Source organism: Homo sapiens, chromosome 12 (assembly GCF_000001405.40).
Source record: "Homo sapiens chromosome 12, GRCh38.p14 Primary Assembly".
NCBI lineage: Eukaryota > Metazoa > Chordata > Mammalia > Primates > Hominidae > Homo > Homo sapiens.
This window is the reverse complement of record NC_000012.12, coordinates 65042675-65065545: the sequence shown is the minus strand read 5'-3', so window position 1 is coordinate 65065545 and position 22871 is coordinate 65042675. Positions and strand designations below refer to the sequence as shown.

The window sequence follows — 22871 nt, the reverse complement described above, 5'->3', positions numbered from 1 at the left end:
AGTATGAGTCAGAATAACTTAAGGTTGTTTACTCTTTTATGATGTACAAAGTACTTTCCTACAGTTATGTGATTTTACTCTGAACATCTTTTGAGATATGTAAAGTATTATCCATCTCATTCCTAGATAAGCAAAGTGAGGTTTATGGAACTTGAGTAGGTTGACCCAAATTCATATCCTGCACTGTACCATGTTGCCACCCAGGCTACCTAATTCAGCCCTTGGTTCTTCCACGAGTGACTCTGAACCTGGGCAGGCAACTTGATCTCTCTGTGGACCATGCTTTTTCTATCTCTAGACTTGGAATTAAGCCATTGACCCTCCTGTCCCTCACCCCTGAGCTATATATTATAACTATATTGAGATAATATGTGAAAGCATTTCTGCCTTTTTTAAAGTGGTCTTTTAAAACTATAGTATTGGATTAAAAATCACTTTTTGAATGTGTTTTCATAAAGATTAAGCACTAATTACTCTAATAAGAATTAACAGCCTGTGAGTAAAATTCATTATTGTGAATCTTTTTGTCTAAATTTAGCATTCAGTGTCTCTGCTATTTTAAAACTGGGCATTCTAGAGGAGAATTAAACTCTTATTGCCTCAAAACTATGAATAAATAAAGCAAATCCTCCAGATTTAGTTGAAGAACTCATGTATTCACAAGAGACCATTTGTGAGACCTTCTTATGTAGGCGTGGCCATTGTTGGTGTGGTTTGCATAATGGAGTGTCAATTGCAGTGTTTTTCTAGTGCTACGGTGTCACAAACACCACATGGTCACTTGCAAAGTAATATATCTATCTATATTCCAGTACATACTATATTTTGTAATATTTTATCTTTCAAATGAAAGATTTTCCTACTCATCAGACTCCAGTAATTTTTTTATTCTTTTATAATGTCTGTTGAAATTCCACTTGGTCTCACTGGGGATCTGGGAATATTAAAAAAAAAAAATTTCTACCTCAACAAAAAGATGCTTTAATTCTCCAGGAGGGAATATGTGGAGGCTCTGAAAAATGATTTAATTACTACTATGGAAATAGACATCAGCACTATGTATTTGAACAAATATTAAAGAATAACTTTCATTGGCCCTTGGGACATCACAACCTTTAGGACCTAAGGAGTTTAGCACTGGCCAGTGGGGCCTCAGCCCTAGAGAAAGATACTTCGTGTCTCTAGCTGCTTGTTTTTCTAATCAAGAATCATTGCACAACAGAAATGTAGAGAAGCTTGCTCATGACAATACAATAGCATACAAGTACTAAGAGTGTGGCCAAATTATGTAACCAACCTTGCCGAATTCTACAACTTTCTATGAAGCTACCAGGTTCATTGCATTCTACACATCAGTAATTGGGCAGTGCCCACGGGGCATGGGCCAAGTGGGTACTGATCCCAAAGTTTTCCAGGGCACTGATCTCATCATTCCCTTCTATCTCCCAGAGAAACAGAAGTGAGGAGACAGGACACACTTACAAAAACAACTGTCCAGCCTTAGCAATACTCCAGCAAAGAGGAGGCCCCAAGAGCTTGTTCTCCTAAATCCTAAATCCTATACCAAAATGCTACAGCTCCCTTCCACATTAAGAGGCTTGAATTTTTTTGTGACCTGTGTGGACAATGTAGCAAGACTCCATCTATACAGAAAAAATTCAAAACTTAATCAGGCATGGTAGTGTACACCTTTACTCCCAGCCATCTGGGAGGCTGAGGCAGGAAGAAACCTTAAGCCCAGGGATTTAAGGTTGCAGTGAGCTATGATTGTGCCACTGCACTCCAGCCTGGGAGACAGAGCAAGACCCTGTCTCTTTTAAAAAACAAACCAAAAAAAAAAAAAAAAAGAGTTTTGATTTGCCAAAGTGAGTACAGCACTTCCTTAAACTTGGAGATCTTTGTGATTTTAAACACAATTTATCATTTAAGAAGCATGATACTCGTAGAACATTTTGCTTTGTGGACTTTTTTTTTCCCACAAAGAAAGCATACACTTAGAACTTTTGGATTTCTTTTCTGATTTTCCTACTGGAAGCTTATTTTAGCTTTTGTTCATCTATAGCCAATTTTGGCCAATTTTATATGGGACAAGAACAAATGGGTCATATAACTGGAATTGCTAAAAATCCAAGCTCTCATTTTAATTTCCTTTATAGAATGAGCCAACTTGTCTATTTTTAGATATTTCCTCTCCTCCCCTCTCCATTTCTCCATCCTCCCTCTATTTTAGGTGCTAGTGAGCAGTGAAATTCCAGAAACTGACACTGTGAGAGAGGGTTTAGGATGAATCACGAAGTGTGATTACTACCTGGATAATCTGGTTATTGGGCTTCCACTATGATACAGCCAACTTCATCATCCTCTGGTCCCTGCTGTGGCCACACTCCTACCTATGGGATCTCACCTGGGCCCACAGTCTTTTTCTGAATACAGTTACTCTTTTCTCCGAAAGTCATAAAAGTATATTTTTTAAAAAACAATCTCAATAAGATAAATATCTGTTCATCTTGTCCTGAAAGAAAGTTGCTTTTTTGTCAGGTCCTGATATTTATGACTTCTCTTTTATCTATTCCAAAGTAAGTCTTCTCCTTTTTACTCTTCTCTTATCCTCTAAACTGATGTTTACAAAAAAAATCCTTAGGTTTATACCATTCTTTTCCTTTTAAGGGCATAGCTATGTATAAGAAAATTAAAAAGCTAATTTTTTTTACTGTGCCTTTCTTCACTGAGATGGAAACTCCTACTGGTGGGTAGTATATGATGTGTGTGGTCTCCTATTATGTTCTGGAGTCTGCACATAGGCAAGCAATTGGTACAAATTTTGTATTTGTAAAGCAGCTTATTTTATTAAGTCAGGAAATGGGCAAGTAGCAAGCAGATGCCTAAAAAATAGCACCTCACTTTAAGTGAAATTTGTGTTAGATTTAACCTACTGTCTAATGCAACACCCCTGTTACTCATTCTAACAGCAAACTGCTCAACCACCTGCTTTAATGGAGGGACCTGTTTCTACCCTGGAAAATGTATTTGCCCTCCAGGACTAGAGGGAGAGCAGTGTGAAATCAGTGAGTATTGACTTTCTGCGTTCTTTTGACTTGGGGAGACCTTAGAAACCCCATATAACCCCTTCATTTTATCAAGGAGGAGTCGGAAGCCCAGAGAGAATGAATAACTTGTCTAAGGTCTTAGGCCAGTGGTTTCTTTTTGCTAGATTCAGCTACCATGCATTTTGGCTGAAGGTGGGGCAAAGAGTGACACAGCTCACCTCAGAGGACTCAGAAGAAATGCTCTCTGACTCGGTTATGTCTGGGTTTGGATTATTCAACAGTTGCATTGTTTTCTGTTAGTCATTTTGTCCCCTCCTCATTATGTGGAACCCATAGCTTCAGACTGGAAATGTAGATCAGAGCTCTGGGACAGCTGGGATCTGTTTACCTATGTACCTGTTTCCCCTGCCGCTCACTGCCAGATATCCTAGACTGAGCCTAACAACCCATCTAAGAGAAAAAGGTAGACTCAAGAAAAACGAGAAAAAAGAGGCGCATAGCAATAAAAAAAGAATGAAATAGTAGCACAAACAGCAACATGAATGAACCACACAGATACTAAGTGAAAGTAACCAGACACAAAAAGTTACCTACTGCATGATCCCATCTTTTTGAAGTTCAAGAATAGGTGAAACTAACGGATGACAGTAGAAACGAGAATCACAGTTGGAGCAAAAGGAACTTTATGGAATGCTAAGTATCTTGATTGGTGAAGTGCCACACATCTGTTTATGTAAATAAAAATATCTGAACTGTAAACTTAAGATTGGTACACACTATGCCTTTACTATATGTTTGTCATACTTCAATACACAAAAGTTAAAAAAGTAAGGGTTGAAATGTGGTAGCTTATCATTGTTTTCGGAATCAATATTCCAAACTGCTTGTCCAGGCTCTGCCATTGACCAGCCATGTAGCTCTCAGCAAGTCATGTAGCCTCTCTCTTTAACTCAGAAATGAGATAACTCCCTCCTAGATTGCCTTACAATCCAGAAGAACAGATAGCACCAAAGCACATGCTCAAGAAAGAGCAAAAGGAAGGTCAGCCTGTCCACTAAGTGTCCTGTGTCCCTGCCTTTCTTGATATGTTTGTTGAGGGAAACTTGGTCTGTGTTTCATTTCCAGCTGTATCTGTAAAACACCACTGTTTGGTACAGCCGAACAGTGTTATACAGTAGTGTATATAGTAGTGTATTGTAGATTGAAAGTTGAATAAGACTAAGTTCCTGTTTGAACTTTCAACCTCTAATTTATTTGTGGGTTTTTGTACTTTAATGAGTAGTGGATGAAGTAACCATTTTTATAGGGTTCAAATGAAATACCTCTAAAGTTTCCATAGAACATGTAATTAATTGTCTGGGTGTGGTTTCTATTCTTATTAATTACCCTTCCCGGATAAAGATATCTCTGAACTAACTCCCCTCAATTTTCCCCTGTACTTACTTCAGACTCTGCACACTTACTTGGTTCATGGTTATGAATCTTTGTTCATAGGCTCATTTTCCTTCATGTAAATATGCCCTTTCATGTTCTTAGGTTTATGAATCTTCTGTTGGCAGAGACAATGTTTTGTATTCTTGGTTTTTTGTTTTACCACATCAAAAAATGTGGGTCTTTGAAAGCTCCTGATTGACCCTACTTCAAGTTTTATCCAAAATCTTTGCGGAAGTTTCCTGTTTCTATCACGGGAACTACATTACCAGGAAAATATGGAAATGGGTCTTGAGTTGAAAAGTGCCTCCAAAGGTACAGAAACAAAAAAGTATAGTTGAATTATGTATTCTTATTTTTAATTAAGATATAAGTCACAATCACATAAAACTCAACATTTTAAAATGTACCATTCGGGTTATTCACAAGATTGTGTAGCCATCACCTCTATCAAATTCCAGAACATGTTATCATCCCCAAAAGAAAATCTGTACCTATTAGCAGTCACCTCCCCTTCCCCTTTCCCTCCAGACACTGGCAACCACTAAGCTACTTTCTGTTTCTAGACTTGCTTATTCTTAACATTTCACATAAATGGAATCATATAAGATATGGCATTTCTTGTGTGGCTTCTTTTACCTGGGTTCATTCTAGTGTTTTCAGTGCTTACCCATGGTGTAGTATATATCACTGCATTATTCCTTTTTATTGCCAAATAATATTCCATTTTATGGATTTACCACATTTTGTTTATTTATCAGCTGTTGGACATTTGGGTTGTTTCCACTTTGGGGCTATTACGAATAATATGGCTATGAAAATCTGCGTGTGAGATGCTTGTGTGGACGTTTCCATTTCTTCAGAATATTTACCTGGGGGTGGAATTGCTGGGTCACGTGGTGACAACTTTTTTGAGGAACTACCAGACTGTTTTCCAAAGCAGTTGCATCATTTTACATTCCCACCAGCAGTGTATGAGGGTTCCAGTTTCTCCACATCCTCACCAGCACTCATTGCTGGCTCTTTGTTTTTTGTTTTTTTTTTAAATGAAATGTATACTCCGATGCCATGTTTATTTTCATTTCTCCTGACCTCTATCAAGAATGATGCCGTCTCACCTGGGTGCAGTGGCTCACGCCTATAATCCCAGCACTTTGAGAGGCTGAAGCAGGCGGATCACCTGAGGTCAGGAGTTAGAGACCAGCCTGGCCAACATGGCAAACCCTCATCTCTACTAAAAACACAAAAATTAGCCAGGCATGGTGGCAGACACCTGTAGTCCTAGCTATTCAGGAGGCTGAGGCAAAAGAATTGCTTGAACCCTGGAGACACAGGTTGCAGTGAGCCAAGGTTGAGCCACTGCACTCCAGCCTAGGAGACAAGAGCAAAACTCCATCTCAAAAAAAAAAAAGTAAAAAACAATGATACCATCTCAAACTTTATTCCGAGTTGATTGTGAGATATGCTTGTAGGTTAACAAAACTATGGTTAGAGGTATCTGGATGGATGGTGTGTACATACATCTTGTTATCTAAGACTCATGGATTTCCCAAGAATCTTTAATGAACCTTCAGTTAAAAAGACTACCCAAATTATTTATAATCCTTTTCTAATGCAAGGATTATTAGAAAAGGATTTTAAAAATAACTGAGTGGGTTCTTCTTATTAAAGTTCTCAATATAAAATATTCTCTGTTAAAAAAATTTAGAATATTGGAGAAAACAATTAAAAATCACCTATAATCCTAAAACCCAGAGATGACAATTGTTGGCACTTAAAAACCCTTTTATCTGTTTTCTTCATTTAACTGTCACTTCATTAAACTGATAATTTAAATTATCCTACAATTGCATAGGTAGAAGAAATTTAATGTCTTTATTTTGTCAATGTATTCTTATTTCATTCTTCTTACAAGGACTCATCTATTGGTTATAGTAAAAATGCCACCAGCTGAAACTTAGTCAAATCTGTTTGTCTTTAGACAGGGCTTAGTCTATTTTTTTTTTTTCTTTTTTTGAGATGGAGTCTAGCTCTGTCACCTAGGCTGGAGTGCAGTGGCGCCATCTTGGCTCTCTGCAACCTCCGCCTTCCAGGTTCAAGCGATTCTTCTGCCACAGCCTCCCAAGTAGCTGAGATTACAGGTGCCCACCATCACACTTGGCTAATTTTTTTACATTTTTAGTAGAGACAGGATTTCACCATATTGGCCAGGCTAGTCTTGAACTCCTGGCCTCCAGTGATCTGTTTGCCTCAGCCTTCCAAAGTGCTGGGATTACAGGCGAGAGCCACCATGCCCAGCCAGGGCTTAGTCTCTTTAAGTAAAAATGTGCCATCTCTCAAGCTGACTCAGTTTTCCACTATTTAATGGGTAGAATTTGGTTGCAAACTATTTTCAGGAAGAAGAAATTCCTATTAAAGATATTTTTCCAGTATTATGAATTTTAAAACAATCAGATCTTCATGAATTTTGGCTCCTATAGTCTTTAAACTAGTAATAGCTTTCGAATGTCTAACGTCTCCTGCAGTCACGTTTCTGTTGTATAATAGCCAGGAGAGAACGTCCTCCTTCCTGACTGCGGTGAATCTAAGGGTCCTCACTTCCCTGTTGCCATGAAAACAAAAAACTTCTTGAAGTTTATGAAAGGATTATCTCCACCAGTCATTTTCTGCATTATCCCAGTTACCAACTTCACCCCTCATAGAGGAGGAGAAAATTCGGGCTCACCAAGTAGTTCACATATGAGTACGCTGTCTTTTCTGCCATATAATTATCATCCTATACCTTGCTCACTTGAAAAAACCTGATGCATTGCAGAGTACTGTGATATGACCCAATTTTGTGTATATGTTGGGGTCAGGTATTTATTTGATGCAAATGGAAATTTGGAGTTAGATATTCCTTCTTTTTGGTGAGAGCTGAGATCTTAACTAAACAGTAAATGGTATTCTTGTATTCAAACCTGGCAAAAAAAAAAAGGACCTTCTTTTGGTCAATGAAGAGGTGATATTCTGTTATTAAGTTTGTTTTCATACTTGTTTCTGGAACACCTCTATGCAGAAAAACCTCAGTGTCTAACGGCATTCCAGGTTTGTGAGAGACCCTAACATCCCAATATTGTTACGTCTATATTGTCTCCACAATGACTAAATACTGCTTTGGTCTACTTATATATGAATAAAGTCCTTTTAGGTAAATAAAAAGATGAAGTGTTTTTAGTAGAATGATTTTCATAAAGAATTTACTTCTTGTTTGTCAAGAATAGTACTTGTCAGTAAAATATATGGGGGTTGACTTCTTTCGCAGCTTTCTTTGGCAATAAAAAGAAGGGCTTAGAGAGTGAAAGGTGGGTTGGTTTAGGATAAATTTTCATTACTTCTCCTTATGTACCTAGAAGCCTTTGTAATGAGTGTTCTGCTAAAGTGAATAAAAAGAAAAGAAAAAGAACAACAAAAGCAATCCAAACTCCTCCACTACCAAAATCTACAGGCTACTTGCTGTCTTCAAAACATCTTATGCCAGGCATAGGATGTGGTTTCAGCTCTAGGTAAAAAGTAACTTATCTTCCACTTCTTCAAAAACTAGGACTTAGGATAGCAAATTCTAGATTGCAGAGGGATAATAAATAGCCTCTGGAGAAAGAAGTGAGAAATTTATTAAATGATTTTTACACCTAGGGCCTTACTCCAGCTCTAAAATTCTGTGATTCAAAGATCTGTGAAAAGCATTCGTAATACTCATTGGGCAAAGAGATAAAAGAAATTACCAAGTATCATTATGGACCTAGGGCATTCCAGGAAAATGCATTGTTGTGATATTGGGCACCTTTTGTGTCACATCTCACAGCCTCTTGGCCAGCCTTGCACACCAGCCATTGCCACTGCACCTCGACTTAGCAGCCCCATACTCCTGTTTTCCACCCACAAACACACTTTTGTGTTGCATTTCCCTCCTTCCATTTCACCCCTCCCATTCCCCCATTCCTGTTTCCTACAATCACTTCCCCAAATAAACTAGCTGCATGCAGATCCTGCTTTCTGGGGAATCCTAGGCTAAGACTGTCATCAGGTACAGGTATAGACTTACTTTCAGAAAAAGTGACATTCAAAAATCAAAACTTGGCCAGGCACAGTGGCTCATGCCTGTAATCCCAGCATTTTGGGAGGTTGAGGTGGGGGGATCACTTGAGGTCAGGAGTTCGAGACCAGCTTGGCCAAGAAGGTGAAACCCTGTGTCTACTAAAAATACAAAAATTAGCTGGGCATGGTGGCACATGTCTGTGTTCCCAGCAACCCTGGAGGATGAGGCAGGAGAATCACTTGAACCTGGGAGGCGGAGGATGCAGTGAGCCGAGATCCTGCCACTGCACTCCAGCCTGGGCAAAATAGCAAGATTCCATCTCAAAAAGAACCAAAAAACAAAAATCAATACCCAGTGAAAAGATTATTTAAAGGGTAATTTATGTCATAACTTTTAGTAAAGTATATCTTAGCAAGTATTTGTGAGTCAGTTAAAAGATTATTCTGTTTATTAAAAAGTAATTGGGCTGGGCGTGGTGGCTCATACTTGTAATCCCAGCACTTTTGAGAGGCCAAGGCGGGCGGATCACTTGAGGTCGGGAGATCAAGACTAGCCTGGCCAACAGAATGAAACCCGTCTTTACTTAAAAAAAAAAAAAAAAAAAAAAAAAAAAAAAAAAAAAAGGATATAAATGCAGCATTTTGGCAACACATTTATAATCCAAAAGCATAAGTTAAAAATATTATCCTGTCTGTTCCAAAAACAAAACTCAAAAAAAAAAAGCCAGAGTAGATCTGAAATAAATGAAAATTGCCATTTAAAAGCACTTATCCTCTCAAAGCCTTGTAATTCCTTTGAAAAATGTAATTACCTCTGAATGAAGCACCAGGTTCCTTGTTTAGCTGCATTCTTCTCTTTTTCAGGCAAATGCCCACAACCCTGTCGAAATGGAGGTAAATGCATTGGTAAAAGCAAATGTAAGTGTTCCAAAGGTTACCAGGGAGACCTCTGTTCAAAGCGTAAGTACCCCATACACATTGCCAATCTGGGCTACTAGGTCGTTAAACTAGCAGGAGTCTCTCACTACATACTTCCGTGCTTAGTGCATGTTGCCTGGGCATCACAGTTAACCTTTCTTCACTGACATATATGCTTCCTTATGTAGACCAGAGGTGTGGTATGAAATCTGTGCATGTAAAAAAATGGATACTCACACATGCAACTGAACGTTTTAACTACAAGGTGGTTTCTTTGTTTTGTTTTGTTTTGTTTTTTGAGACGGAGTCTCTCTCTGTCGCCCAGGCTGGAGTGCAGTGGCGCGATCTAGGCCCATTGAAACCTCCGCCCCCCAGGTGTAAGCGATTCCCCTGCCTCGGCCTCCCGAGTAGCTGGGACTATAGGCACCTGCCACTGCACCCGGCCAATCTTCGTATTTTTTTTTTAGTAGAGATGGAGTTTCACCACCTTGGCCAGGCTGATCTCGAACTCCTGACCTCGTGATCCACCTGCCTCAGCCCCCCAAAGTGTTGGGATTACAGGCATGAGCCATCATGCCCAGCCAGGTGTTTTCTTAAGGAAAATAAACTTCCATGCTCCAGCAGTTTCAAAATCCTACTGAATGTCTTTTGCGAATGAAAAATATCATGCTTAAAGATCATTCTCAGGACTTTACAAAAAGTCCAAAACCAACTTATGACTGGAGACTGACTTAGGAAAAAAAATTAGAGGATGAAGCCAAAACTAACACATTCTAAAGAATTGCAAGGAAAGCAACTATGTAATTCTGTTGAAAAAGGAAAGCTCAGGAAATACTCTTTTTATTTCTTTTGATTCTAGCTGTCTGCGAGCCTGGCTGTGGTGCACATGGAACCTGCCATGAACCCAACAAATGCCAATGTCAAGAAGGTTGGCATGGAAGACACTGCAATAAAAGTGAGTGGGAGAAATAAAAAGTTGTAAACAAGGAAAAAAATAAAAATAAAAGTGAGTGGGAGACCAGAAGAAGGGCCAGCCTTTTCACTTCGGTTTCTTGGCTTCAAAGGCTAACAGTCAACCTATAACTCAGCCCTGCTTTCCATTTCATTAAAGGCAGCTTTTTCTCTGCCTCTTCTCCCCCATACTTCTCCACCTCTTTAAACTTTAGAGTCTAAGCTTTAGTGTGTAAAGAGTAATGCATCTTTGTAAAAGATCACATCTGTAAAATATCACAAATATTTTCTAGGCTAAATTAGTAATACAGGTTGATCTAGGGGTAATATAGTGTGTTAACTATGAAAGAAATGACACATGAAACTAAGATTTTAAATCAAATGTAGAATCAGTGTCTCCTTACCTCTGATTTTATAATTCATGATTTGTCAAGTATCATTATAAAACATGAAGCATTTTGCTTCTTAAAATATTTAAACTGTACTGGTAATAGTAAGTAAATGAGTTCTTTTGAGGGAAAGAAAAGGTTTATAAAGCTGTCTATGGGAGAGATGTTATAATGGAGTTGCATTTTTTCAAAATTTACTACCAAAAATGAGCTAGCTATGTAGATAAACAGCTGGCCTATTTTAGACACACAATGACACTTGCTAAATTCATTCAGTATTGATTGTGGTCTCTCCTGTGCTAAGCATGAATCCAAGCACTGGGGACACACCAGTGCACAGACAGAAAAGGCCCTGCCTTGTGGAGTGGGAGGGGCAGTCAATTAGCAAATTAACAAAACAACACAGTTTCAGCATTTCTGGCAGCTAGAACTCAGTCTCCTAAGCATGGGCCCACTGTCCACTTTAGTTTGAAAAAAGGAAGACTTCAGTCACATACCATACTCTTCGAAAACATAATTCCAAGCTGGGAGTGTTGGCACATGCCTGTAGTCCAAGCTACTTGGGAGGCTGAGGCAAGAGGATTTCTTGAATCCAGGAGTTTGAGATCAGCCTGGGCAACATAGAAAGACCCTGTCTCAAAAAAAAAAAAAAAAAAAAAGCAAATTCACAAAATTCCAGGTTGTGTCTACCATATTATGTCTCCAAAGTAATGGATACAAACTGAACAAATCACTCACATATCAGATGTTTTCCTAGATCAGTAGTCTCCAAAGGTTGGTGCATGCAACCCAGTGAGTGTGGAAATTATCCACTGGGGTGCTAAAAGAATATACTAGTTTTTAAATATTTTTTATATTTTAAATTTGATTTATATTTATATATAAATATACATTTAATATACTTATGGTAGTCTTTCTAATTTCTAAGTTTTGCTTATATTTTACAATGTTCATATTGTATTTGTTTAATGTATCTAAAATAAGTGTATATGTAGTTATACATCTGTTTACTTTAAGGTAGGTTGGTATCTGGTCTAGGTTACATGTATTAGTCTGTTCTCACACTGCTATAAAGAACTTTCAGAGACTGAGTAATGTATAAAGGAAAGAGGTTTGACTCACCCTTCCATATGGCTAGGGAGGCCTCAGGAAACTTACAATCGTGGCAGAAGGCAAAGGGAGGCAGGTACCTTCTTCATAAGGTGGAAGGAGAGAGAATGACCATAGAAGGAGCTTGCCAAACACTTATAAAACTGTCAGATCTCGTGAGAACTCGCTCACTATCAGGAGAACAGCATAGGGGAACCAGCCCCATGATTCAATTACCTCCACCTGGTGTCTCCCTTGACACACGGGGATTATGGGGATTACAATTCAAGATGAGATTTGGGTGGGGACACAGGCAAACCATATCACTACACTAAGCCACTGATTTGATGCTTTTTCACCCACTGAATTAACTGGATGGTTGATTAAATTGGCTTCAGGTGGACACAATTTAATAAGCAGTGCCGCTCCTCTGGAAAATTGCTTCTCACACAGTGGGAATGGTTGAATGGTATCCCTGCTAGGACATACTGATAAGGAGATCTTCTTTGGACTAAAAGACCTATAGGAGACTCAATATTTCTAGTGCCATTTTGGAAAAGAGTAAACCGAAGCTCTTATGCCACCCTCAACTGGAGACAAACCCTGAGGCTTGCTTCAGAATCAAAATAACTAAAAAATCCTCAAGCCTAGTCCAGACCACACATGCAAGGACTTAGTTACAAAGGTCTTCTAAGACTCACATCCAGATCCCAGTGATCCCCACAAGTGATGAAGAGGGGAGCACAAGGGCACTGTTACTTCTGATGCACCCAGCCATTCTTCCAAAGGGAAGGCAAGTTAGGGGCCCTCGTGTGGTAGATGATGCCTCCTGACAGGTCTGCCAGCCTCCAAACAGCACCCCCACTTGGAGATTATGCTGCTGAAAGCGTCTGCCATCAGTGTGCCTCCTTCAAATCCAAGCATTGCATGCCAAGAAGATGACCTGGTGCTTGATTCAAATGCAAATGTGTTTTCCAGGAGAGGTCACCCAGCCATTTTGTACATTAGCTAAAATAATTGAGCTGAAAGAAGGGGGTTTATTTTGACTAGACGGAGGTGACAAGGAAGCTCTGAGGCACAGAGTTCTGCTAAGAACATACTCCCAGTGGGATGACACGTTGGGAGTTCCAGGGACCCAGGCATGATGGTGGGGAGGAGGATACTGGAGACAGAAGTCCCCGCATAGGCTCACCCTCGCCAACAGAAAGGTTTGGGCTTCATGGGTCACAGGCCAAGCAGCATGGTAGAGATTTACTCCAACTCATTGCTGGCTCAGGTTTTGACCACTCCACAAGCTACTAGACTACATACTGACAATTCAAAGGAACACATTCAGGAACAAAGTATTCTGTTCTCAGTAGCTGCTTAATGGCATGTTTGCATTTAAAAACACAAGGAATAAATAAATGCTGAATTTAACTCAGATGCACAAGAAGATGCAGGCAGATTTTTACAATGTAATTTGCTGCCTTGGATCAGTTTTAGGAGATGAGAAATGAGTTACTGCCCCTGAGCATCACCCCAAGTAGGAAGAAGGGAGGTCTGAAGTTGTGTAACTTAGCACATTCCATTTACAACCCATCTGGAAACAGATAGATGCCCACCTTGACCAAAACACAAATCTCTATTGATAAGGAAGAGTCAGTTCAAATCTTAACCTTTTCCCTGACACATATAATGGAAGTTCTTAATTTTTACAAAATTCCTGTCTTATAAGTGCAATAGTCACACCCAATCATGTGATCTTTATGAAGAGTCGGGTTGTCATATTGAACTGGATCAATATCAGCTAGGTTAGGTTTGCAGTGCAGTGAAAAGGATCAACGACCAAATCTGCAGCTGCATTCAAAATTTCAATGCTAGATCCTTACCAGCCCTTGGATGGAGACTATACTTCCATTCAGTCACATTCACCCAGATTTTGCATCAAGAGTTTCTGCATGGCCAGAATATATAGGGAATGAGAAATCCAATGGAAACCTGGTTTCATGGAGTTAGTAAAATGGGTTGCTCTTAACAGAGATCTCTTCATTCAGGTAGCTTTTTGTGGTCATTGCGGTTTTTCATTCTGGATTGAAAAGGCAAAAATGGATTTCATTTGAATGGTTAATAATGAATCTGAAGAGCCTGGTTTTGTAGTTTCTTTCCTTTTAAGCTGTGAATAATTTTGCAGGGTACGAAGCCAGCCTCATACATGCCCTGAGGCCAGCAGGCGCCCAGCTCAGGCAGCACACGCCTTCACTTAAAAAGGCCGAGGAGCGGCGGGATCCACCTGAATCCAATTACATCTGGTGAACTCCGACATCTGAAACGTTTTAAGTTACACCAAGTTCATAGCCTTTGTTAACCTTTCATGTGTTGAATGTTCAAATAATGTTCATTACACTTAAGAATACTGGCCTGAATTTTATTAGCTTCATTATAAATCACTGAGCTGATATTTACTCTTCCTTTTAAGTTTTCTAAGTACGTCTGTAGCATGATGGTATAGATTTTCTTGTTTCAGTGCTTTGGGACAGATTTTATATTATGTCAATTGATCAGGTTAAAATTTTCAGTGTGTAGTTGGCAGATATTTTCAAAATTACAATGCATTTATGGTGTCTGGGGGCAGGGGAACATCAGAAAGGTTAAATTGGGCAAAAATGCGTAAGTCACAAGAATTTGGATGGTGCAGTTAATGTTGAAGTTACAGCATTTCAGATTTTATTGTCAGATATTTAGATGTTTGTTACATTTTTAAAAATTGCTCTTAATTTTTAAACTCTCAATACAATATATTTTGACCTTACCATTATTCCAGAGATTCAGTATTAAAAAAAAAAAAATTACACTGTGGTAGTGGCATTTAAACAATATAATATATTCTAAACACAATGAAATAGGGAATATAATGTATGAACTTTTTGCATTGGCTTGAAGCAATATAATATATTGTAAACAAAACACAGCTCTTACCTAATAAACATTTTATACTGTTTGTATGTATAAAATAAAGGTGCTGCTTTAGTTTTCTGAGCATTGTGTGGAGGTGATCTTTGCACATGCTATCTTATGAAAATAAAATTGGTTGCAATTTAGTGGTAGTTAATATTTCCAGTATAAAAAAACAAAGCTATTCCATTGTCTGCCCCTGCCTTAGCTCTTCAGTGTCAGCCCTCCCTCCCAGCTCTCTGACTGTACTCCAACCATGCCATACTGCTCTCTGTTGTCACCACCTGCAACACTATTTATATCAGGTCTCAGCTTGTTATTTCTTTCAAGAATATTTCACATTCTCACTAAGTAGAATGTGTTAAATATCCCTTTAGTGGAAGACTTTCTCAAGGGTTAGAATGTTACAAATGAAAAGTGCTACCCTGTATTAAAAACCTATTGGTACCATGATTTGAGGGAGCCTAGCAAAAAACACACAAACAAACAGCTCTATCAGTTCCCAAGTATAGTACATGGGTTATCTTACAATTCTATGAGGCAGGTATCATTATGCCATTTTACAGATCAGAAACTGAGGCTTGGAGACAATAAGATCTCACGTGACAGGGACGGGGTTTGAATCTGTGACATCTGACTCCAAAGTGTAACACTGTGCTGCTCTCCCTCCTTCCTTTTTCTCAGCAGACACAATAGAACACAAAGCTCCGCAAATCCTAGAGAGCAGCTTTCCAGCATATGTTATTCTGATTCTCCCAAGGGAATGTGGACTTAATTTCATAGATAGTCTAATGTCTACAGATTTTCTTCTAGTAGGGTGTGGCATGACCAGTTGTGTGATGTAGAGAGGTGACTTGATGACTGGAAGGGATCAAGGGAAAGGCTTTGGCTGAGGGAATGCATCTTTTGATGCAGTGTAGGACCACAGCAACCTCTCTTCTAACTGGGAGAGCCTGGCCTGTCAGCCTGTGATCACACAGACTTGGCAAAGCAGGCCAGGAGCCAGGGAACCAACATTGGGATCCCACTACGGGAACAACTCATTTATCTAAAGCTATTAAGTAAGTAAAATTCCAAATCTGTGATAATGAAGATTAGGATGGTGGCAGAAAGTCAAGTTTGGCAATAGGATAATAATCATAGCTAAGGTATATAGTACTTACTTTGTTCTAAGCACTTTAGTTGTATTAACTAACAGATGAATAATAGAGTGATAGGGAAGTTAGTCTGAAACAAAGGGACCAACTGCAATAATCTTGGTTGGTCATCTCTGAACCATTTGATTTGCACATTTCATTAGACATTTTTGAGCACATAGTCATATATATGACCACCATTTATTAACATGGATAACTGTACTAATATATGCATTATAAAAGCCAGAAATGTTAAAGGGAATAGAAAAAATACAAATAGAAAGGCCAATAATTGTGACTTCACGGGACATGAAATCATTGTCGTTTCTTTTGTAAAGTTACCATACAACAGAAGGTGGATAGTAAGGAAGAAGAAGACGAAGGAGGAAGAGGAGGATAGTATCTGCATAAAACACCTCTAAACAAGAATTTAAAAGTTAAAGTCGTAAGGAGGTAAGGCAGATGTATACCATCAGCAAGATAAAGTAAGTAGGAAAAACGAGGCAAAAGGAAATAGTATAGACAATAAAATTGGTGGAAGAAGGAGGATTGAACAAAACGCATACATGAGCTCCTGCACACTTGTGAGAGGTGGACCATATACTTATCTCTCACAAGTGTGCAGAAGCTCATATGCACCTTTTGTCCTAACTTCATTCCTCAAAGAGGAAACCATGGTTGGTTAGGGGGCCCAAAGACCATAAATACGAAAACAAACTAGTTGTCAGGAGAAGTTAGACTACATGAGGTACTTCTATTCGGGCTAGATCAAGAGGTGTAGGTCTGTGGGAATGCTACTTTTTTGGCATCTCTTCAGGCTGATAATCTTTAAAATATTTCTTTCAAATTTATTTATAGAGGAACTGCGTGAAAAAGAGGTGAGAAAGAAAATGCTGACAGGGTTCAGCTTCTCATCCACTATTCCAGACTATATGTCTCCAGGCCTAAAATTCTTTCTGTTCTTATTGCTATATTGAGATATAGCTAGCTAGATAGCTAGATAGATTGATAGATAGATAGACACAAAATTTACATATTTATGGGGCACATGTGAGTGTTTGTTACATGGAAAGAATGTGTAATGATCAAGTCAGGGTAATTGGATTATTTATTATTTTTATGTGTTGGTACCATTTCAAGTCTTCTCTTCTAGTTGCTTTGAAATATATGTAATATTGTTGCTAAGCATAGTCACCCTAGTCTGCTATCAAGCATTGGAATTTATTTCTTCTATCTAACTGTATGTTTGTACCCATAACCAACCTCTCTTCACTCCCCCTCTCCCCTCACCCACCTCTCCCAGTCTCTGGTATCTGCCATTTTATTCTCTTTGGCACAATTTTAGATTTATATGCTTGTTATGGCCCCAGATAACGTAGCCCTTAAGCCAGATCTCAGAGCAGAGAAATGTCTTCTATGGTTCTCGTAAAGAAGTCAGAGTGTCATGTAATACACAATGCTCTCAGTATTATGGACAGAGTAATAGCAGAGAGGACTGTTTCTTTTCATATTCTTCAAGAAGGCACAAATCTTCACTATAAAGTACAGTTTCATAAAAGCATTTCTACCAAGGTAGCAGAGGAGAAGGGGATATGGCAAGGTGAGCAATGTTTAAATTGGGTAAAGAAGAAATATTGCCATTTCAAAAGAATTTCCTAAGGCAATAAAAAAGGAAGAAAGAAAAGAAAAAAAGACACACATGACTATATAAAGAAAGTAGTTTTGTGGCAGTAATTCTTAGCTTATACAAGTGGTGCAAATATAAAAATTTAATAAGCACATTGAATAAATGAGCCTCCATATGGTTCAACATAAAAAATAGAAACCATATACAGGAAACAGACATCATAAATCAAAGTATTCAGGTGTTCAGTAAGATTTTTTAGAATTCTAATGTAAACTCCAAATGTAAATTGGTTTTGTACCTGTTTACTGGTTTATCACTGATGAGTATAAAATTACAAATGAAATGTAATTTTCATTGAGCTTTGGCATTGTGGGATTTTTCCTGGGCAACATATTTACCTCCCTCCTCATGTTCAGCTTGCATGACTGTTGAAATTACCTGACTTTTCTTGAAAGTCCAAACCAACTAGAGGTCCATGGGATGGCCAAAAAAACAAAAAACAAAAACAAACAAAAACAAAAAAAAAAGCAACTGAGATGACAAATAATCCACAAAATCCACAGAAGGATTACTGAAAGTTGACTCCCTATAAGCTTCCTTCTCCAGAGGACATGACAATGGCGAGTCCAGCACTGAGCATGGTCCTGAGCCTGGCTCAGGGGCATGACTGGGAGAGAAGAGTGAGAAGAAAGCAGAGAGCCCAAGCCATCTATAACCCAGGAGAAGAACAGGCTACATAATTTGAGGGACTCAGAGTAAAAATGAAAATGTAGAGCTCCTTGTTCAAAAAGTATTAAAATTTTCAAGATGGTGACAACAGAGCATGCAACAAACATGAGGCCCTTCTCAAAGCAGAGCTCTGTGCAACCGCACAGTTCCCACACCATGAAGCTGGCCCTGACTGGGAGCAAGTTCTTAGGTCCATGCATGAGGAAGTTTGGGTAAAATAGAAAACATCCTCCTCTCCTTAGGCACTGGCCTCTTCCCTTGCCTTTCTTTTGGCTTCAGCCCCATGGCTGACTGTAAGAACTCAGGCCTTAAGAACGAAATAATTATTAGCCAACAAACTGGTTATGTCAGTGACCATTTACTGAATTTCTTCTGAATTAATATTGCAAACACAAAATTAGGGAAGAGAGTAGAGGACAAATTGGGGGGACAAGTATTTATTTGCTTTATGTTTTAGTCCAAATTGTTTGAACATCAGTTCCTGCTTAGGAAAGGAGTTTGTAGCTTTAAGTTTATAGCTCACAAGGGAAAGATATTTTTCAGAATTCTGTGAACAAGCTATTTTAACCCAAAAGATAATTTGGGGATATTCCAACTCATAGTTTCTACTCTTTATTAGAAGAAACACACAGAAACCTGGCTGAGTTGGGATCTTAAGCCTTGTGACAAAAAATAAATTCATCCCCAAACATGGAAGCTTAATTCAATGAGAAGCCATATGACAGTCTCCAAAAACCCCCAAAACAAATGTCCCAAAGGCCTAAATTAGTCTTGCCTCATTTCAAGAAAACACCCAAAATTAAAAAGCAAATCTGTGATTTTTTTTTACTCTGTGAAAATGACCATTTGCTCAGAGTTTGCATTTGAGCCTAAAACATAACACGCTTGAGGGAAGAACAAAGGCATCCTCTGCAGAAGCAAAGCCACCCATGGCACCAAGTCTACTGGGCACCTTGTCGAAAAATGAATCCTTGGCTGTGTCACATGAGCTAAACCTAAGTATTTTACTGGAGTTGTAAAGAATAAGTTTTTGCTTTTCTGTCATTTGGATATTCTGCCCTGGCTTGTTTATTTGGATTCTGTACTACCTTGTTTCTAATCCAAAACCAGGCCGAGGAGGTGCTTCAGGGTAATGAACTGAGGTGGGCCTTAAGGCTACAGTCATCTGGCTCCACATTTAAGCCAATCTTGAAATGAGGATGTGAACATAGGTTATGCCACGACAACCTATATCGATGCAATTAAGGATGTACTACAGAAAATTACTGCAGCAATTGTGCCTTTAGAAGAAAAAGAAGGGCCAGACACAGTGGCTCTCATCTGTAATCCCAGCACTTTGGGAGGCCGAGGTGAGCAGATCACGAGGTCAGGAGTTCAAGACCAACCTGACCAACGTGGTGAAACCCTGTCTCTACTACAAGTACAAAAATTAGCTGGGCATGGTGGCATGTGCCTATAACCCCAGCTACTCAGGAGGCTGAGGCAGAAGAATCGCTTAAACCCAGGAGATAAAAGTTGCAGCGAACTGAGATCGTGCCATTGCACTCCAGCCTGGGTCACAGAAAGACTACATCTCAAAAAAAAAAAAAAAAAAAAAAAGAAGAAGAGGAAGAGGAAGAAAAAGAAAATGACCTTTGAAACAGACCGTCAAGGTGAAAACTGAAGCAAGTTGTAACTTCCTTGGCTTTGCCAAGTGTCCACCAATGCTTTTAAGTGTGTGTCACTCCGAGGTCAACATTCCGCAGATATGCCTTATTGAGAGTCTCTGCAGAATGGAGTAATAGGAGAACTCATAAGTTGGCTTTCTGCTAAGGAATGTTAGCCCAGCACAAAAGTAGTTTTTGAAACTTTTTAGAGAAACTCTCTGCAGAAATTTCGATTCACAGCATCTCTGTGAAAGGATTCAGTAAATCTACAGAGAAATGAGGGCTAGGGTTTGCTGAAGATCACAAAACCACTTAGAAGCAGTAACAACCCTAGTGTGAAGATTCCAAAATTGTGTCCTAGGAACACTAGTTGCTCAGAATATTAATAGGAGTTAGGTGAAAACAGGATTCTGGGGTCAAATATGTCTAGAAGATGAGGAATTACACTAAGTTGAGGGATGTCTTTACAGCAGCACTCCTCAGAGCCTTTACTGTGTGACTGTGTGCCATCATCTGTCAGAGGGGACTGGTCTGCAGCACCCTCAAACTTACTTCATCAAAGAGACTGTTCACCCTGAATTTATTTGAATGCTCTTTATATGCATGAATTTAAATGAGCTGGAGTTAATTTATATCAGCTAATGAGAGAGAATCTTGTTTAATTTTTAGGAAACTAATGAGCCAGTTGTTAAACTTGGCAATTATTAAAAAGTAAATTATATGAATACAAATAAATAAATAATTTTAAAAAGAATAATTTAGGAAATTTTATTCCTGAAGCATTTCCCAGAAATAAAATTCCATGCAGCATGCTTTGGGAAGCACACTCCTAGATAAGTAGTTTGAAGTCCTTAAATTTGAGTCTTTAACACACTCTTTTTTTCTCTCCAGAATTTACACTATCTCTTTGAAGCTAATTCAAGGATGAGTGAAACTTGTCACTTATAACACAAAGAATTTCTGGTATAAAGTAAATCAGTTGTTTTTACATAATTTACTTATATTTCCCCTAAATGAATTGATCTGTTTTCATTCTAGCTTTACTTACACATAGGAGCATTAGAAAACACCTCAATTTCTGCAAACTTAAGTATAAGTTTACAATTTATGGAATTAAACAAAAGGATAAATGGATCCTTATAGTGATTTTATTTTTGAGACATTTAAGTAACATCCAACATCTAGGGAGCCCATGTGTGAATTACCTGTGAAGTAGTTTTTTAAAGTCAGTTGCCTTTGGTATGCTTTCATGGTGATTTTGTCAATTCCTGATCTCCAGTTGCTTCTTAAATATTACTCAACTTTAAATCAGGGATGGAAGTGGTGATCAGAGAACAAAAGGTCACCAACTAAAGACAATAGGGAGCACAGATACCAGTAAGAACAGCAGATAGGAATAAAGAGACGAACCTTCAACACTTCCTCTCACAAGCTGATGGTTCTTACTCCAGATTCCCCAAAATGATGCACCTTAAGCTAGATTTCCCTTGCCTGTCCCCCTCTCTGGGCCCTCTCTTTATTCCCAACAATTGGCTCTTAAAATGATCTGAACACATCAAGCACTCTGACAGAGATGGAGTAGCTAACATTTCCTTCACTTTGCTACCAAATCTATGCTGTTCTTGGGTGACCATGACCTTAAATTTGAGTCTCTTCAAACAGTAATTAATCTTCCCTGGGCACAAAACAGGGTGGCCCTAGCTCAGTGTTAGTGCTAGGATAATAAGGGAATATGTCTACTTTCAGCCTTTGTAGAGCTCACAAGTCAAAGTTATTAATAGTAGTAGCAGTAGTAATTACCTAATACATTCCATTTGTGTATGCAAGGCTTTGTTGAATACTCTTTATATGCATGAATCTAAATGAGCTAGAATTAGTTTATATCAGCTCATGAGAGAGAATCTTGTTAAATTTTTAAGAAACTAATAAGCCAGTTGTTAAACTCTGCAACTATTAAAAATTAAATTGTATGAATACAAATTATAAAATCAATAAATTGCAAATGAATAAAAATTTAATTATATTAATTATTTTAAAAAGAATAAAAATACTGAAAATGAACTTCTTCCTAATTATTTTACTATTATGTGAGGTTATTTACATCTATTGTATTTATATAAAGGAAACATTACATCATGGTGTCCAAACCAATTGGACACAATAAGAAATACACAATAGGCATTTAGGGCCCACCTGGATATTCTGGGATGAGCCTCTCTTCTCAAGATCTTTAATCACATACATCCTTTGCTATGTAATGTAATATTCTCACATGCTAGTAATTAGGACAAATGTATCTTTGGAGCCACATTCAGCCCACTACAGTCATCATCATCAATGACCCAAAACCTATGCATTGATTTAGGACTTCAGTAGGATTGCTGTCCTCAAGAAACCTACACCCTACAGAGAGAGACAGAACTCATACCATTAAGTCAATCACAGGGAATACAAAATGATGCAGCCACTTTGGAAAACAGCTTGTCAGCTTCTAAAAAAGTTAAGAAACTGGATGTTTGTGAATAAGATCTTGAGAAGATAGATTTACCATAAGAACCAGCAATTCCACTCCTAGATTTATACTGAAGAGAAATCAAGGCATATGTACACACAAAGACTTGCATATGAATGTTCATAGCAGCATTATTCATAATAGCCAAAAGGTAGAAACAGCCCAAATATCCATTAACTGGTGACTGGATGAACACAATATGGTATATCCAAGGAATGGAACACTATTCAGCAATAAAAAGGAATGAGATGTTGATACATGCTACAACATGGATAAATTTCATGCTAAGTAGAAGAAGCCAGACACAAAGACCACACTTTGTTATGATTCCATTTTTATAAAATGCCCAGAAAGGGCAAATCTATAGAAACAGAAAGTAGATTGG

General features: G+C 38.4%; 1 protein-coding gene across 1 annotated transcript in view; it reads left to right on the top strand.

Annotated features, from left to right (window-relative positions):
* Positions 1 to 14920, top strand: part of WIF1 (Wnt inhibitory factor 1) — a 70680-nt gene extending 55760 nt beyond the window's left edge. Inside the window, exons 7-10 of the mRNA NM_007191.5 lie at positions 2970 to 3065; positions 9420 to 9515; positions 10333 to 10428; positions 14076 to 14920. Coding sequence (NP_009122.2) covers positions 2970 to 3065; positions 9420 to 9515; positions 10333 to 10428; positions 14076 to 14197 — 410 coding nt within the window. The 3' untranslated portion in view covers positions 14198 to 14920. The remainder of the gene's footprint in view (positions 1 to 2969; positions 3066 to 9419; positions 9516 to 10332; positions 10429 to 14075) is intronic.
* The last annotated feature ends 7951 nt before the right edge of the window (positions 14921 to 22871 follow it).